The 17,982-nt window shown below is 40.4% G+C and overlaps 1 long non-coding RNA gene, 6 other non-coding genes and 1 pseudogene across 7 annotated transcripts, besides 3 other annotated features; 7 read left to right on the top strand and 1 right to left on the bottom strand.

Moving 5' to 3' along the window:
• Positions 3,289-3,851: an enhancer, noted in NCBI's record as "H3K27ac-H3K4me1 hESC enhancer chrX:133314265-133314827 (GRCh37/hg19 assembly coordinates)". NCBI's record gives its function as "activates a minimal SCP1, AML or CMV promoter by ChIP-STARR-seq in naive H9 embryonic stem cells {active_cell/tissue: H9 hESC(naive)}" and the evidence as "EXISTENCE:reporter gene assay evidence [ECO:0000049][PMID:30033119]".
• Positions 8,873-9,167: a silencer, noted in NCBI's record as "tiled region #650; HepG2 Repressive non-DNase unmatched - State 24:Quies". NCBI's record gives its function as "represses a minimal TATA promoter and a strong SV40 promoter by Sharpr-MPRA in HepG2 cells {active_cell/tissue: HepG2}" and the evidence as "EXISTENCE:reporter gene assay evidence [ECO:0000049][PMID:27701403]".
• On the top strand, positions 9,998-14,936 carry MIR106AHG (miR-106a-363 cluster host gene). The gene is made up of 2 exons (XR_007068340.1): positions 9,998-12,417; positions 13,734-14,936. It is a non-coding gene; the product is annotated as a miR-106a-363 cluster host gene (long non-coding RNA).
• Positions 11,126-11,933: an enhancer, noted in NCBI's record as "NANOG-H3K27ac-H3K4me1 hESC enhancer chrX:133306183-133306990 (GRCh37/hg19 assembly coordinates)". NCBI's record gives its function as "activates a minimal SCP1, AML or CMV promoter by ChIP-STARR-seq in primed H9 embryonic stem cells {active_cell/tissue: H9 hESC(primed)}" and the evidence as "EXISTENCE:reporter gene assay evidence [ECO:0000049][PMID:30033119]".
• MIR106A (microRNA 106a) lies at positions 13,808-13,888 on the top strand. The gene has a single exon (NR_029523.1). It is a non-coding gene; the product is annotated as a microRNA 106a (primary transcript).
• MIR18B (microRNA 18b) lies at positions 13,975-14,045 on the top strand. The gene has a single exon (NR_029949.1). It is a non-coding gene; the product is annotated as a microRNA 18b (primary transcript).
• Positions 14,209-14,277, top strand: MIR20B (microRNA 20b). The gene has a single exon (NR_029950.1). It is a non-coding gene; the product is annotated as a microRNA 20b (primary transcript).
• Positions 14,320-14,415, top strand: MIR19B2 (microRNA 19b-2). Its single transcript, NR_029491.1, has one exon. It is a non-coding gene; the product is annotated as a microRNA 19b-2 (primary transcript).
• On the top strand, positions 14,474-14,548 carry MIR92A2 (microRNA 92a-2). Its single transcript, NR_029509.1, has one exon. It is a non-coding gene; the product is annotated as a microRNA 92a-2 (primary transcript).
• MIR363 (microRNA 363) lies at positions 14,634-14,708 on the top strand. Its single transcript, NR_029852.1, has one exon. It is a non-coding gene; the product is annotated as a microRNA 363 (primary transcript).
• TIMM8BP2 (translocase of inner mitochondrial membrane 8B pseudogene 2) lies at positions 17,004-17,420 on the bottom strand (annotated as a pseudogene).

Here is a 17,982-nt window from a genome sequence, read left to right as displayed (position 1 = left end):
TACTCGAGAGGCTGAGGCAGGAGAATCACTTGAACCTGGGAGGTGGAGGTTGTAGTGAGCCGAGATCGAGCCATTGCACCCCAGCCTGGGCAACAAGAGTGAAACTCCATCCAAAAAAAAAGAGCCAACTGTTCCTGTGCTTAAAGTCTTTCCCCAGTAGTCTCTTACTGGAGGTGAAACCACCACGTGACCCACGTGACTCTGTCCCAGAAAGTTCCATTTCCCTCCCTCTCTGTCACATGTCTGTGTCATAAGCTTCCCTCGGAAGCTCTGAGGGAAGTCACATTCAATTACTGACACCGGCACTGGGCTATACTCTGACTTACTAATCCAAATGCTTCCACCATGGCTTTACTGTTCTCCTTTGTGATGAGAATAAAGATTCCTGAAACAGTGCTGAGTGACAGGCTGACCTGGCTTCAAGCACAGGCTCCATCATGTGCCTGCCATGCAATATCATTCAAATGACCTAACCTTTCACAGCCTCTGTTCACCATCTAGAACAGAAGGGTAAGATTAATAATTACCTATTTAGTAGGATCATCATGTGAGATATATCTCATATATCTCTCATATATCCTGTGAGATATATGAGACATCTCATGTGTATATATATATATATGTGTATATATATGTGTGTATATATATGTGTATATATATGTGTGTATATATATGTGTGTATATATATGTGTATATATATGTGTATATATATGTGTATATATATGTGTATATATATGTGTATATATATGTGTATATATATATGTGTATATATATGTGTATATATATATATAGAGAGAGAGAGAGAGAGAGAGAATTTACAGCAGTGCCTGGCACATAGTAAACACTCAATCAATGTTACAGATTATTAATCCCATTTTTGCCTGGAGCATTTTGCCGGATGAGGTAGGTTTGGATTGTTAAATCTCCTCTGAGTTTAGGTTAAAAAACAAAAAACAACTACCCAGGTTATTCTGCTGATGAATGATAAAATGATGGAATCGCTAAAGATTTAGGATTTCAGGTACTAGTAGGGCCCTGTTTAAGGAACAGATGAAGTAGAGATAGCAGCTAAACTCATTTTTAGAGGCCCAGTGGAAGTGAGGAGCAGGCTTCTTGAATATGACATAATTGAAGGGGCAGGGTTTATATTGAATTGTGGTGTTCGGGATTGCTGAGAAGTGACAGATTGAACAAGGTAGGTGGAGACCTGAGTTGTTCACTCAACCTCTGTAGGCCTCATTTTCTGCCAGTGTAAAATAGGGATAACCTCAACCATCTACCTCACAGATTTCAGGTGAATGTCAAGCAAAATAATGTGCATGCTGATGTGCTTTGGAAACTGTCAATAACACCTGTAATCCCAGCAGTTTGGGAGGCCAAGGCAGGAGGATTGCTTGAGGTTAGGAGTTTGAGACCAGACTGGGCAACAGAGCAAGACCCTGTCTCTACCAGAAATTTAAAAAATTAGCTGGGCATTGTGGTGTGTGCCTGTAGTCCTAGCTACTTGGGAGGCTGAGGTGGGAGGATTGCTGGAGTCTGGGAGTTCGAGGTTACATTGAGCTATGATTGTGCCACTGCACTCCAGCCTGGGTGACAGAGCAAGATCTCATGTAATAATAATAGTAATACCAGCCAAGCACTGAAACAGAGGCCACAGTTTATTATTCTCTTTCTAAATACCTAAATATGCAATTGAAGCAGCATGGAACTCAAGTGCTATGGTAGTTCAGGGAAGGCAGAAATCTCCATGTGCTGGACCTAAGGAAGGCTTCCCATGGGAGGTAGGACTTGAAGTGGCCCTTAAAGAATGAGAGGAGAGAGAACTAGAGACCATTGATTTGCCCAAATCTCTGTCACGTGTCCATGTCATGAGGTAATTTACTAATCTACTTTGCACACAATCATAGTCAAAGAGGTTCCCAGAATCCTTCTGTTCACTTACATGAAGGCAAACCCAAACCCTTACTGATAGCATAGAAGATGAAGTAAAATGCAACTGGAGCTGCAGACTCTCATGGCACTTTTATGGCTCATTTTTCTATATAGTAGGTCTATGTGGAATAATTTCACATTAATTCTTGATTGACTGCACTCCTGTGACCAAATGTTTTGTGTTAACATGTACACCCACAAAAGAGACACCTTTTTGGCAGATTATTGAATACTTAAATAAGCACCTTAAATTTGTGAGAATTTATAACTTAATAAAGAAAACACAGGGAAATAAAGGAAAAAGTTCATGATACAGATAAAGAGCCACAGTCTAGTCTCCATTAATTATCTGCACACCATCTCAGTTATCTCTCCAGAGGTAACTAATTCATTACTACTATTATTGCCAGTTAAAAGGAAGACCTGAGAAGCACGGGGGTGGGGTTGGGCAAAAGAGGAACAAAGAGGAGGGGTACTGAGATAAAAAGCAAAGATTTATGGAGTGGGAAGAGACCTCAGAGGTAATCTAGTAAGTGATTTGCTAAAAAGTCATTCAGCTAGTTAGTGACACAGCACAGACTCAAGCTGAGATCTCCAGCTTCTCACTCCAGGTCCTTTTCGACACTACTGCATAGTTTTGGGAGAGGGAGGTTAGAACAGTCAGTGGGAAGGGAAAGGCCCAAATTCCCAGCCTCAGTCTTCTTAGATTCTCAACCCCTCCCCCTCTTTGAGATGCAAAAACCTCTCTCTAACTAACACATTGAACTGGCTTCCCTTAATCTTCCCCTACCCCTTTCTACTCCAAATCACCAAAAGGAACTTCTGTATGAGCTGTCTAGGTCTTTACAAAGAAACTCCCCGGAGTTATCTTTATTTACTAGGGGAACATTGCTTGATCTCTCAGTTACATATTTTTAGAGACAGTTAAAGAATTGCTAATGTTATCTGGTACTTTACATATGGTTCCTGGGCGGTAGTAAACACTCAGGGTTGAAAAAGAATTTACAAAGTGGAAGGGAGCTGGCATTTCTGATATCCCTCAATGCAAATATTCAACCTAGTCACTAGGCCAACAATGGATGTGTCAACACACTCTGAAAGGGGTCTCATAAAACTACAAAGTTGAGGTTCTCTACACCATCACAGAATTTACAATCTGGTTGGGTGGATGGACAAAGCTCAATTATTCATAATGACCTCAACAAAGATATGATAATACCTCACCTCATTAGCATATTAGCATATGCTATCAAATATGATAATTGTAAACTCAGATGAACGATTTTTATTCTTTTTCCCTGTAAAAGGCTGGGGTGGGGATCCAATTCATGACATTCCTAAACAACAATGGGGACACTGTTTCCACATTGCTCATTCCGAAAGGCATTTCTGAAAGCTAGAGATAGATGCCTTTTAGAAAGTAGACCACATTTTCTGGCACAATACTTAATTTATTCTCCTTTGATGACACGCCTGGTGGAATGAAGGAAATGGGGGGTGGGCATTCCATAAAACCTGATGAAACAGAATTATAACACAGATGGTATAACAGTTTATACAATATTAACAGCTCTTTTAATGTTAAATTAGTACATATAAAGGCATCAGGGAGTAACGTGTGTTGCTCCTTCTTACAGTTGAAGAAAAATCTAAGAAACAATTGACATGTGAGGAAATTGTCGACTTGCAGGTTATGAACATGAACATAAAGTTACATTTTGATGATCAAATGTTCATTATTTGGTACTGTGATCTGGGATTCCAATCTGGACTGGGGATGTGAGGGGGTGAGAAATCAAGCAAGATTTCCCTGTATGACAGCTAGGTTTCTCAGAACACTTGAGGGGGAAGATGGTCGTTATGTGTCTTTTCAGCTGGTACAATCAGATTGTAGTTAAATAGTGAGAATGACTAAATTGTTAAATTTTCTCCTGAAACCCTCTCTCTGTGCCTTGCTTGCACTGCTGGTGCCCCAAACTTTGGCAGCGAGAAGTCAGGATCTTGGCAAGGAGTCTAAGAAATATGCATATGGCATCAGCAGGAAAGAGAAAAGCAGGAAAAGAACATTTATTGAGCATTCTGAAGTGCCAAGCATTGTGATCATTGTGTGATCTGTAGATTTCACACACGATCTCATTTAATTTTCATAACGGTCCTACCGGAAAATCAAGCTTGAAAATCAGTCAAGGACTATTTAAAATTTCTTTTAAAATTGACCATAATAGTGTCTTTCTTTATCCTGGCTCTGTGACAATGAGTGGAGGCATTTTAGGCAGGTCATTTTTGGGGCTCCAGTTTCCTCATCTGTAAAATGAAGCGATTAGGTTAGATGCCCAGTGAGGACCTTGCCAAACCTAACATATTGGTTCCAACCATCCTTTAAAAGATTCTCTGCTAAGTCATTTCCATGTTTGATGCTGTTATGTATAGTATTTTGCCACAAACTTAGCATTGAAAGAACCTAAGCACTTGACCAGGAGTCAGGCAAAATGAAAGACAAGTTGGAATTTGGGATTCTTTTTGCAAATTGTGCTAATCTGTCTAAGGCTAGATATGTAGCTGCAAATGTGGTAGTGTTAAAAGCCAGCAACATTAATTTTAGAATTAATTTGCTAAGAGCTTTAGGTCTTAAATATTATCAAGACTTTTATATAAACTTGGTAACACCGTTATTGGAGTTTAAAAAACATGCAGTGTGCATGCAGGGATTAATCAAGTGTAGAGATTAGTTTAAGAATGGTGAGTTTGAATTGTAAATGAAATAGTTGAAATTGCAGAAAACCAAGGGACTATACACCAAAACAAGGATTAAAAAGGACACTTTGTTTATGAACCAAAGTATAAAATGAATCCTCTCAACTTTTATATTTAAATTTCTGACACAAAAGTAAAAATTGACTAAATGTAGGACTCTCCCCACCCAGCAGATTTTAAAGATGTTATAAACTACTATTTAAAGAAAACCCTTTTGAAACTTACCGAAGAGGGGTAATTAGTTGAGTGGGACAACAAGGACTCCAACTAACACAGCAAATAAAAATTGGTTCTTGCTTTTGTTAGGTGATTAACCAAACTGATGGGGTCTATTCAATTTCTAGTTTGTTGATTATCCTCAGACACATTTAATTTTAAAAAATGACTTGGGTTGAGGATATCTAGTAAGTAATAAAAGATATAATATTCAGATAACGCTGATAAATAATATGTCAGAAGCAAGATTATATTTTTGACAACTGGAATAAACATGAAAGCACTGCAGAAAAAGCTTGATTAAAACACACAAAGGAAGAAAACACATTTTATTTCAGATCAAATTGAAGAAAGCCCAAAGTAGTATGATTGGGTGTGAAGGCTATTAGTAATTGCAAGGTGTGTATCTTACTCTAAAGAAGTTACATATCACTGTTCATCAAGATCTAGTGGTTTCCATGCTTTTGTTTAAATGGCCTTTAAAGCAAAACTGCAAATGAAATAGCTATGAAAGGATTTACAGATTAGTCAAGTATTACATTCTAAAAATATAATTTAACCCTAGATATTCACTAGAATTATTTGTCTTGCTGTTTCTCCAAAATCAACAAGCAGACTCTATATTTAAAATGGCTTTGTTTATTAGCCTTGATATCCTCCAAGGAAACACTGAACTTTGATCTAGTTAATTAATTATAAAAAACATAAAAGTTTAACATACTATAATACAGTATCTTTTTGTAATACATACCAACATATCATGTTTGCTTCTTTAACCTTAAGTTCTTGAAAACTTAAAACAGATCCTAGAATAATGTTTAGTTAAGCAAGTTTATCAATTTGATATCTAAACATTTTCACAAATATGCAATCCATACTTGATCATAACTTGCACATTTTCTTCTTGCTTTTATCTACTAGCACATAAACCATTTTAATTATTAAAGATGGTTTAATAAGTAGCAGCTATAGAAATGGGATCACTGAAAGCTATAAAGGATCAGTTCGTCTTAGGGATGTTAATCATTTTTTAAATTTAGGGAGTAAAGTTTCAAGTAGTAAAATTCATTAGGATTTAAAAAAGTGAGGGATGAGATGGACAGCTCACTCTTTTCTGAAAGAATAAAAATATGCTCAGAGCTCCAAGTAGGGTCATAAATTATATGATTTTAAATAATAAAACTTCATCTTTCCATCTTTGATTTTTAAATCAGTAGTCTTCCTGTTGACTTAGACATCCTTTCAAAAATTTCAAAAGTAAGCTAGATTACATTTGTTTTGAGAAAATAAAATCTCCCCTTTCATTTTAAAAGTAGATGTCCTCTGTAGGCTGTATCTGTTGAAAGATTCCCTTTTACAGTGAGTGTTAGCCCTGTTATTTAGGTTGTTGCAAGCTTTCATTGCAGTCCTTTCAGGCATCTGGATAATTCAACACATTTCACTGCGCCTTCCTCCTCAGCATAAAAAAGGCCAGACAATAGTTCTACTTCCTTCAGCAATCACAAGTCAGGAGACAGTTAAAGAGAATCTCTAAGCTTAGCAGAGTACTACCAAACTAAGGATAAATGTTATCTTTGAGGAGAAAAAAAGAGAGAGGCTCCAAAAAATACCATTTTGCCCTCTTTGCACATAGGTAGTAGAAGATTATCATGCTTTATTTTAGTTATAGCAGACAGAATATTAAATAACTTAAAGCTTCCTAACTTAAAAGCATATTTGTCATCTAGAGTTTTTACTTCTCAATCATGACATTTTCAATAACAGACTTATTGGTGTAAGATTATTAAATAATGAGATAATTTTTAATACCATGATTTACTTGCTTTGGAAGACAATGTTATGGTGATGACGTTTTAGAGACTGTTTTGAATGTAAAACTATATTTTTTATTGTGTTCCGTACCATGACATATTTTCCACTTAGAAAATTTATAATGGTGCAAAGATGGACAAACTTAATCAGAAAAGTGATTGAAAAAAGTGATGTGTGTAAAACATTTCTGGTTTACAGCTTTTTCTTTGATTATAGTATTACAGTCTGCTAGCAATTTTATGGTTTGTAATACCAGAAGTTCCACTTCTAAGGTCACATAAACAGGAAAATCAAAGTGTTTCAAACAGAGTGTAAAAATACCTTTAACACTATTTAATCTTAATAGTGAATCACTTTAATGTCTACTGAGTCTATTCTCAAGGTGGGAGAATTAATTTGAGAAACAATTTTTCTACTGATGGCAAGCAGGTTATTCTTATATCTTTTCAATATTTGCACACATATTTTGATGTAAAATATTTGACATGTAAAAAATATGGTTGTTAGTGAGAGGAAATTGTGTTTTAACATACTACTGAGAAAAGCAAAGACCCACACAACAAGGTAATTTTAAGGCATCACATAATAGCAAAATTAGCTCCATGTTGTAAGTTCTAGTACCAACATATTTCAGCTGAATTATGTGAGATGTAATTTAATTGTATTTTAATTTGATTACTCTTTTGATTTAAAATAAGATTAAATCATTACTAGAGATAAGAAATGTTTGTAAATAGACACTTATTCTAAAAAATCAAAGTTAGCAAAGACCAGCTTGTAAAAGTAAGGTTTACTTACAAGTAAAATTTAGTAAAATGTGTATTTTAAACGTATTTGTATATCAGAAAAGTTGATCCACCTTCTGGTGCCATTTGGTCTTCATAAAATCCTTTGAGATTGGGATAAGTATATTTTTACTTTCTACATTTTTTAAACTAAGTTATATTAACTGTGCATGTTCAATTAGTGAAATTTTCTGCTTCTTATCAAGTGGCAAATCTTTTGAAATTGATATTTCATTCTCATGGACGCTATTTAGTTGAAGATGTATTTATTTTATTTACATGATTTATGTTGGCATATGCTATTGAAAAGAAATAAGATTCAGAAATTCATTACTGACTCTAATTTTTCTCTTTGTTCTGCTGACATAAATTTTCATAAACAAATTAAGGCCTGGTCCAAAAAATTCAAATTTCATTTTTTCAGGCTGATTTGTGTTAGTATGATTGGCATTCAAAAGAAGATTGATTCATCTAAAAACTATGAAATGTTTGCAAATGAAGGAATACTTCGTTTAAAAAATAAAGTTAGTGAAGACCAGTTTTGATAGACTTCTAATGAAATCACAGTTCCTGCTCTAGGATCAAATAGCAAAATAGCATTTGAAATATTTTGTTTGGGATCTTCCGCCTCCATTCTGTTTAGTGAGTGTTCTGATCTGCTGGCTTTGTTTTAGGCCTCATGGGCATGCACATGAGCACATGAACATAAACACACAAATGTAGCAAAACACATATTTCAGTGGGACACTAAACTTCTCATCCTGGGCAAAACCAGAGTGTAACAGACCTTAATTGCAAGTGTAGTTCAAAAATGTAGAGTAGTAAATACACATAGAACAAAAGCTCTATTCTAGTTGTGTGAGGAACATAATACTCTTAAATTACTTTCTGGTTTCCATGGGGACCTTTTTGTTCTAAGATACCAATCATTAGGTTTAACAAAGCCACTTAATATTATTTCTAAATCAAGTAACATGATTTCTCAACTGGGTAAAATGTCAATTTTATTCTTAAAGGTGTTCAAATCCAAACTACTTGAGATTGCTGCTTTATATGGCATAATTAAATCTAGAGGTCAATACAGAAGAATCCCTTCACCCCTTTTCAAGGCAGAGGAAAGCTCAAAGTGGGTCTATTTTGAGGGGAATATTTTGCTGGGCATTCACCGTTTTTCTTTGAATCCATCATAAACTCAAAATAGTGTCAAGAATTTAAAGTTGTGATGAGAATCCTTAGGCTCACGAAAGATAACAAGTTCTCCCTCCCTTTGGCCAGTTTCCATACCTTTCTTACACATTCTGACAGAACATCTGGGCTTTCGTGTAGGCATGTATTCTATATCATATTTACATACATGCGTATATACGCACACCGGCCAGTCTGTTTGGTCATAAATGATGTGACTGGGGGATAGGAGTTGTGGCTCCTTTATTTTGCAGAATGCCTAAGTATTGTTTGTCTCACAATACTGGGAGCGAGCAGGAGCCCGGTGGGAGCCTGGAGCCTTAAGCCCTGGGCTGTGGTCTGGGGGAGGGGACGGGGTTGCGGGGTCACAAGCTCTTTGCTTTTAGCCTCAGCATGACCACAAGTTTTAAAGCATGAAGGGATCACGTGCTTTTCTTTGAGCTGTTAGTTATTCTGACTTTTGGGGGGGGTGTGTGTGAAATGCTTTGTTCTTTAGATTTTTTTGATTCTCTAGGTATTTTGGCCGATGATTAAATTTTTTTTCCAAAAGAAAGAGACAAAAATAAATCATTTGGTGTATCAAAATGTCCTAGTTTCTCATAACCTATATCTTGTACTTAGTTAGTTTTACCTTGTGCTAGACAGGTACTGAGATGGAATAAATTATTTTCGCCAGTTGGGAACTTGATCCAGACATTCTATATGTTGCAAACCCTTAAAAAAAATTAAGAACAAGAAAATATCCTGGTAAAGCAATCTCAAAATACCTTATTCCGGGTATTGTTCTAGCTTTAAAGGGAAGGAGGACTGGGAGGAGGGGTGGGAGATGGGGGGTGGCGAATAGGAAGACTGGGAGGATGTCTTGTTTAATGAACTGCTAAAACTTTTGGAAAATTTTAAGCTAGTGAAGTCCCTCAACACGGTATTTCCATTTGAAAACCTTTACTTAAATATGTCACTCTTGGGGAGTTACTTCTACTTGTTCCCTTTAATAGGATGATTTCATCTTTTCCAACCTTCTTCTGTCTCTCCAACCAAGACACATAGACTCCGAATACCAAATAAAGACTTTTGAAGATAATGAGATTTATTTGGGAACATTTTCCAAAATCAGGGTAATGGGTTTTTTTGTTCTGATGTTGAAGAGGATGAGGATATGTTTACTCATTGACCCGGGAGCTCTGGCTGCAGCTGTAGGACACAATTAATTATGCTAATAGTTTGTGAGGAGCGGATGTAGCTCCCCCAACCCCCCTTTTTTCGAGGGGAGGGGAGTTTGGCAAAAGGGGAAGGAGACGCCCTGGGGTCGGATCACATGATATTATCTTCGCGCCACTTTCGCAAAAACCCTTTTTTTTACTCCAGGTTTTGCTCCAGCTCAAAGGTACTGTTCTTATCTTGCTTTAATACAACGCTTCTTAAAGTCGGGTCTAAGTTCTCTTCCCTCCCCCTCCTCTTCTTTCCACTGCTAGTCGTTACCATTAAAGGTCGAAAGTTGCATTGCAGTCGGTGCAATCTCACAGGAGGGATCTGGTTGGGTAGTAAACTTCGGGCTGCGTAGTTTCCAGAAAGTATCACGCAGACGTGCCAGGGTAGGCTGCAAGGTCTGTTGCATGAAAAAGGGGAGGAAGCCCACCTGTGCGAGTGACTCGCGTTGGAGAAATGATTGTGGTTTTCGTTGCATCCACCGCTGACTCCTGAGGGGCGCTGGCAGTTCAGGTTGGACTCTTTCGCGGGCCAGGGGCGGGAGAGGCCAGTCTTTTGTAATGTTTGCCTGAGCTACTACTGTGCACCAGTGCACCAGGTTGAGAATCACATGGCGCCCTTGTCCTCTTCTGGGCTTTGGGCTGCCACAATCACCCTGGTAACAATGGTGGAAAGGGAGGGGTCCGGCTTCATTTTGCACCCCTTCCCTCCTTCCTTGCCCCCCGCTTGCCTTCCAGGGCTTTCCTCCTCCGACCCAGCGTGCTCACTGGTCTCTGATTTGTAACCTCGTACCCTGCACACCCCCGCCCACCCCCCCAACCCCCGCACGCTCCCCAAATCCCATCTTGCGCCTGTGTCCGCCAGGGACGCGGAGAAGGTATATAGCCCGGTTGTCTCTCATTTTGCCCGGTGTTCAAAGTCTGGTATGCTTAATTCCATTTTGATTGTGCGTCTTAAACTAAGACATCATTTTATTCTACAGAGCGCTGTCGGGCTTTGGCCTTGAAGCAGCCCGCCCTCAATTGGTTCTCATTAGCGGTGGAATGAGAGGAGAAAGCAAGATAATTGCACCGTATCTTCCGCACATTTGCGCGTGTATTCGGTGGCTGCTACCGTTAACGATACCTGCCAAGAAACCCTGATTTAGTGGGTGAAGAGGGCGCCTGGCAAGGGCGAAAGCCTCCCAACAGTAGCACAAGGTGCTAGGGGTTAAAACTTTCACATGTGCAGAGAGTAAGTCGTGTTTCTATTTCTTCCCTCCTCGGGCCTTAGGAACACTTTCAATCTAGCGGCGAGGTGGCGCGCATGCGCGCGCCGGGTGGGGGACACCCCTGTCCCACGGCTCCGTGGGCCTCGTCGTCTGTCTCCGGTGGGGGGCTGAGGCGAGCGCCGCGGGAGCGAGATGGGACAAGGTGGTAGTGAGTGCGCCATCCTGGCCCGGATGCCGGTGGCACCCGCACCGGCTCCGGCCACGGCCTCTGCCTGGGCCGCTGTCCCAGGCGCGCCTTTAATTAAGGACTCCAGCTTGGGGGAAGAGAGAAGGGAAAATGCCGACTGCGGTCCGCCCGTGGGTAACTGGGGCTCGGTGGGGTTTTCGCTTTGGCGGGGTGGGGGTTCCGTTTCCTAATTCCTGTGCGGGCCGGGTGGGCGGGGGCGGGCTTTTTTCCTTGGGCTATTAAAGGCAGAGGGGCGGGCTTTTCCCAGGGATATAGCTACGGACAGAGGGCCAAGGGGACGGAGCGCTCCTCAAGTGGTGGCAGGGAGGCTCGTGGCCCCGCGTCGCTCTGGACAGGGGCGCTTTGGGGTGAGATGTGCGCTCGCGGCCTTGATCCATTTAGTGGACGCTTTTTCTCACTTCTCTTCCCCTTCTGGCTCCGCGGGAGACTGCGCTCGCACCCGGCCCCGGAGCGCTCGAGCTGCGCGCTGGGACACTGGGTATACGTGTGGAGGGGACACCCGGAGAGGGCGGCCCGTGCGGGATCCCCGCGCTCTCCACCTGCGAGGGGCGGGCCGGAGCTGGGTCCCGCGCGCGGTTTCCCGAGCGGGTGGCTGGGCAAGAAGGGAGCCCTTCGTTGGGGCAGCTGTGATCCGGTAGAGTTGACTGGTTGGGTGGGAGGGGACGGAGCGGGCGGGACTTGAGAAAAGCAAAGTACCAGAGTGCGGTTGAGGGGTAGCGGGCAGCGCGCGGGAAACGACTCCCCTTTTCTTCTCCACCGTTGACCTTTAGGTTCCTGGAAAACTTTGGTGGTGAGGGTGTGAAATGAGGGGGTGCACGTGGAGGGAAAAAAGGGACTCCCCTCCCTCTTGGCTTCTATCCCACCAACCCGGGAATGGAGGGGGAGGGAGGCGTGGGCTTGGCGCGTTTTTGGTGCTTTGAATGGAGAACTCCGTTTCCCATGATGCTTTGTTTCTTTCTCTTTAATTTCGGCGGCGGCTGAGGCTGCACGAGGACTGGAGCGCGTGGTGTGAGCAGCTGGAGCACACCCTGGACGCGCGGGCTGCTCGCGGACTTCAACGGGAGCATTAGGTAAGGGTGTGAGAGACGCGGGAAGAGGCAAAAGGGAGCCACAAAGGCGTACAGGGAAGGACTTCTTTCTTTCTTTTCCTTATTATTATTATTATTATTTGCAATTTAAGGGGATTGGAGAGTGACTGCCCAGCGTGCGCGAGGGATGCCAGATGAACCGCTAATTAGCAAAAGGTAGTAACTAGAAGGGCGCCCTGTCTGATGGCTGTGGGGCTCAGTTTGGCCAGGTTGGGTTGGCAAATACTATGCATTTTGAGTCAAGTTTGGAGTATTTTTTTTTTAATGGAAAAGAAATCTTCACAGGTGTAGAAACCCAATTTAAGGGGAAAAATGTTATTTTTCTCATTTCTATACTAAATCCATTCTTCCCTAATAGAAAATTGATTCCAGATTGATGTATAAGTTTTATAAATCAGTTTAGTTTGTAAAGACTTCTAAAGACTCATTTAGTGGCATAAGATATCGTGACGAAAGTTCAACATTTAAAATTCCCTCACTCGTTTAACGTATTACAGATTCTGTCCCAAACGTTTTTGTTTTTCTTTTAAACAAAAGTTACCCCATCATGGAAGAGATAGGGGACCCTGTGAGCCTTTTTCACATAGAGGCTCACTTCCTTGCTGTATGTTCTTAGGTAAAATAAGCACTTGGAAATGGGAGAAGGTTTTCTTATGGAAGATAATGACATGAAGGGAAGAAGAGCTAATCTGCCTACTTTGGTTTAATGGAGAAAATGGGTCCATAAATGTTTAAACAGAAGTAGAGCCCTTTGAAATAGATCAAAATGTGACATCTCTCAGCCATCTGTGCATTATGTGAAGACTGTAAGGCTGTGTTTCTTAAACCAGCTCTAAAATTTCTCTCATTTTCTATTAATGGGGTGGGGGCTGGGAATATTCATTTAATCTAACAGTCACTTTCCGTATGGAGCCCAAAAGCTCTGAATGATCTGAAGACTCGAATACTCATCCTGGGTTTTACATGCTCCTTTCTCTAGGTCCTCCTCTTATAAAATCAGGGTGGATAGAATGTGCCTGCAAATTACTGAGATGCAGATATCAAATTTTCTTAGATGGAGAGGGGGAGTCCAAAATCTGCTTATACATAAGAATTGGACTTTTTGCAGTTGCCAGTGTTATTCGTGTTCAATTCTGTGTAAATAATTGAGATTATTAATATTTCTCAGGATTTGGTTGAAACCACAAAACCTAGCTTAGACTCTGTAAGCCAAAGGAAAGCCTGTTTCAGGAATATTAACTAGTAGTTTACTTGTTTAGTTTCTAATATGTGTGTGTTTGTTTTGTTGTTTTAACCAGGTGAGTCTGCATGGATCTGTGAGGACGGAAAAGAAGAGCTCCTGGAAGACTTAAAATTTTGCTACAGGAATAGGCCTTGGCCATGTAAAAGTGCTTACAGTGCAGGTAGCTTTTTGAGATCTACTGCAATGTAAGCACTTCTTACATTACCATGGTGATTTAGTCAATGGCTACTGAGAACTGTAGTTTGTGCATAATTAAGTAGTTGATGCTTTTGAGCTGCTTCTTATAATGTGTCTCTTGTGTTAAGGTGCATCTAGTGCAGTTAGTGAAGCAGCTTAGAATCTACTGCCCTAAATGCCCCTTCTGGCACAGGCTGCCTAATATACAGCATTTTAAAAGTATGCCTTGAGTAGTAATTTGAATAGGACACATTTCAGTGGTTTGTTTTTTGCCTTTTTATTGTTTGTTGGGAACAGATGGTGGGGACTGTGCAGTGTACAGTTGTGTACAGAGGATAAGATTGGGTCCTAGTAGTACCAAAGTGCTCATAGTGCAGGTAGTTTTGGCATGACTCTACTGTAGTATGGGCACTTCCAGTACTCTTGGATAACAAATCTCTTGTTGATGGAGAGAATATTCAAAGACATTGCTACTTACAATTAGTTTTGCAGGTTTGCATTTCAGCGTATATATGTATATGTGGCTGTGCAAATCCATGCAAAACTGATTGTGATAATGTGTGCTTCCTACGTCTGTGTGAACACACCTTCATGCGTATCTCCAGCACTCATGCCCATTCATCCCTGGGTGGGGATTTGTTGCATTACTTGTGTTCTATATAAAGTATTGCACTTGTCCCGGCCTGTGGAAGAAAGGAGGATTTTTATCGTCTTCTTATTTTAACTTTTAAAAGCCGTAAGTTCTGATATTTAGTCATTGTAAAATGATCTGTTTTGCTGTTGTCGGGTGGATCACGATGCAATTTTGATGAGTATCATAGGAGAAAAATTGCACGGTATCCATCTGTAAACCGCAGGACCTTTGTTGGCGACATTCCTGATCAGCGCTACAGTAAGCTAGATGGTAAAAAATCCTTTCTCTAGTTGCTGCTATTAAAAAATAATTTGAAATATATTTGGATTTCTAAAAACTATGATAGCTAATTTATAAAGTATGTGTTTTGGAACTTTGGTGAATGATCAGATTGTTACTGAATGTGAATGAACCTCAAAATAAATGAAATTTATAGATCTGAAAAAATGACTCTTTTTTTTTTAAAAAAAATAATTAGCAATGCTAGAGGAGTTTGTAAAATATCTCTTGGGAGGATCCTAAAGGAAAACTTGGACATAGCTGCTTTTCAAGTTTGCATCTACATAAAGCACCAAGATGCCTAATTTTAGGAATTTTATTACCCTGACAATATTTGGATGACATGTACTAATTTTGTTTTAGTACACGTGCTCATTCTTAGGAAGGGAATGAAGAGTTGTAAACCAATGGGACACATACCTTTAAGGAACTGGGCACATTTTGAGGTCTGACAGGAGAGAAGAATGAACTTGTCAATCAAACTCTGTTTTGGGGTTCTCGGAGAAGAGGATTTGGTGGCAGGGCTACTGAGAGGGATGGCTGCTGCCTTGCTTTGGAGTCTAGCAGATGGAAACCTGGATGTGGGCCTACTGTTAATATTTAGGGTTCGGGGGCTCCATAGGGTGACTAACCTAAAGCAGAAATTTCTCATGCGCAGCTAATTAGTGGTTTGAGACTGAACACCAAAAGTTATTTGGATCCTCTAGTGGTTCTTAAAACTTTAGCACTTACTAAGACACAGCCAGCCAACCCCATCTCCAGAGATTCATTCAATAGGTCTGGATGGGGCCTAAGGAATTGCATTTCTTTATTTTTTTCTTTTTGAGACGGAGTTTCGCTCTTGTTGCCCAGACTGGAGTGCAATGGCCCGATCTCTCATTCACCACAACCTCCACCTTCCGGGTTGAAGTGATTCTCCTGCCTCAGCCTCCTGAGTAGCTGGGATTACAGGCGTGCGCCACCACGCTTGGCTAATTCTGTACTTTTAGTAGAGACGGGGTTTCACCATGTTGGTCAGGCTGGTCTCGAACTCCTGACCTCAAGAGATCCACCCACCTTGGCCTCCCAAAGTGCTGGCATTACAGGTAAGGAATTGCATTTCTAACCTTTCCCTAGGAGCTGATGCTGCTGGTCAAGACACCATACTTGCAGAACCACTGCTCGAAAACAGCTAACGACAGCTTCTAGGACAAAGTTAACAAAGGAAGTTGTTTATTTTAAACTTCATAAAATTAAAAGAACTCGAAGCAGGGACTGGCTTGCTTTCCAGTTCTATGTTTCATATTTTAATGTTAATCTTTAACATCATGTATTTGGCAAATGAAGAAACGAGGCTTGTGGTAGTTTTACTGTCTGCCAACATGAACATTTAGTTCTCATCAAAAAGGTGCTGCCAAACTAAAAGATGGTATCAGTATGTGTCATTCTTACTTCCTGGTGCCATGGAATTTTCTAATTTTGAAACCCTTTTGATTTTTCCTCATAACATCAGTCCATTTTAATCAGTAAGAGGAACTCTCTCTGAATTGCATTTTAATCTTGAGCTAGTTGCCTAAGGCTTCAATTTCCTCATTAGGGGAAATACAGTGATAACATTGGTCTACCTCAAGGATATGTGGGTTAAGTAAGTTCTCTGGTGGTGGCGGCTGGGGGGATGGATTTTAATTGTTAGTGATGAAGTGAAATCTTAATGAAAAGAGACTTAGGGTAGTAAATTCTGTCGTCCAGTATTAAGTATGTGTGTGTAATTTTTTAAAAGTGACTAATGCTTGAGGCAATTATACAAACATAAATAACTACAGGTATTTCCTGTGTTGTCTAGTGCTGACTACGTTGTTGGTGCCTAATCATAGTTAAGTTTGATGTGGCAGCAAAGAAAAGGGTCTCCCGCCCTTTAATAAAGTAGCTCAGTAAAAGAGGGGATTAAAGCTTATTTGTTGTAATCCTTAACACCACCAAACCTCCACTTTAATAATACAAATTTATTGTCCTAGTGGTTCACTGGTGCTTTACCTAACGTGGCTAGTATGCAGTCAGTTATTGCAGTTTCCACTTTTAATAGGCTTGTGTGGAGGAGCTGTGTTCCTTAGGGTAGGCCACTCTGCCCACTAGAGTCAATTCCCTCACCTAAAGTTAGGGCCGAACTTGATGATCTGAGGACCCTTTCTAGCTTCAAAAATTCTGATTCTATATTTGCTCAAGTTAGACTAATCCAATAATTCTTTTTTTTTTTTTTTTGAACATTTCATCTTTTACTTTTTAGGACCAACAGACTTGATAACAGCCTGATGCTGATCTGACAATGGGTTGACAGCCTTCCCCCACTGGCCCTTAAGTCTGCTTAATAATAAGTCCTTTGCTTCTGTCATTCTCCTGGGGGATGGCCTACTGCCCTCCTTTCTGTACAATCTGGGCAAACCGACTGGTGATGGCAAGAGTGGTGTCAATGAAGTGGTCTACACAGCTGGAGAGACAATTTTCAGTGCAAGAGTCCAGGCGATTCCCTGGCTTCTCCACACATTTATCCCAACATAACTCCATGAAGTGATGCACCTGTGCAGTAAACTGCGCCTTCTGCTGTTCGGCGGCCACCAGGTGCTGCAACTCCGCTCCATCGGCTTCACCCAGCTCCGCCTTTGTTCACCTCAGACTTATCCAATAATTCTTCAAGTGTTTTGCATTGAAGTCATTTGTCTAGAATACTTGGGAATGGGTTAATTTAAGTCATTAATCATGGGCAAAATTAGTAATATCTACATACGACATATATAGCTTGCTCATTTTTAAATAATTACAGTAAGTTCAGTAGAAGCACTGCCAGGTATAATTTCTATCTTTGGTTCAGATGGTAGTTTAATATCCCATGGCTTTCCAAGGTCATCAGTATGGGCATTCATTCCCCTAGACAGAAGAGTCAATGTGGCACAGGTATGAATGAGCCTAAACATATGTCAACTTGGAAGTTGCTTTTTTGGCAATTGTCAGTCATATTAGTTTTGAAACAAGGGACATATAGCAAAAAGGAGGGGAAGTTATGGTATAAAATTGTAGCTGAAAGAATCCCTACTTACAGATCAGAGTCCAGCTTTATTCTTTATTAGGTGAGGAAACTGAGAACCAGGAAGAAATGACTTGCTCAAGGTTTGAGTAAATAAACAAATTAGGGACCAATATGATCAATGCCTGCTAGAAGTTTGGAGGCCTGGAGGAAGGC

The sequence above is a fragment of the Homo sapiens genome, chromosome X, assembly GCF_000001405.40.
Source record: "Homo sapiens chromosome X, GRCh38.p14 Primary Assembly".
Taxonomy (NCBI): domain Eukaryota; kingdom Metazoa; phylum Chordata; class Mammalia; order Primates; family Hominidae; genus Homo; species Homo sapiens.
Note: the sequence above shows the minus strand (reverse complement) of the source record. Positions and strands in the feature narration are given on the sequence as shown.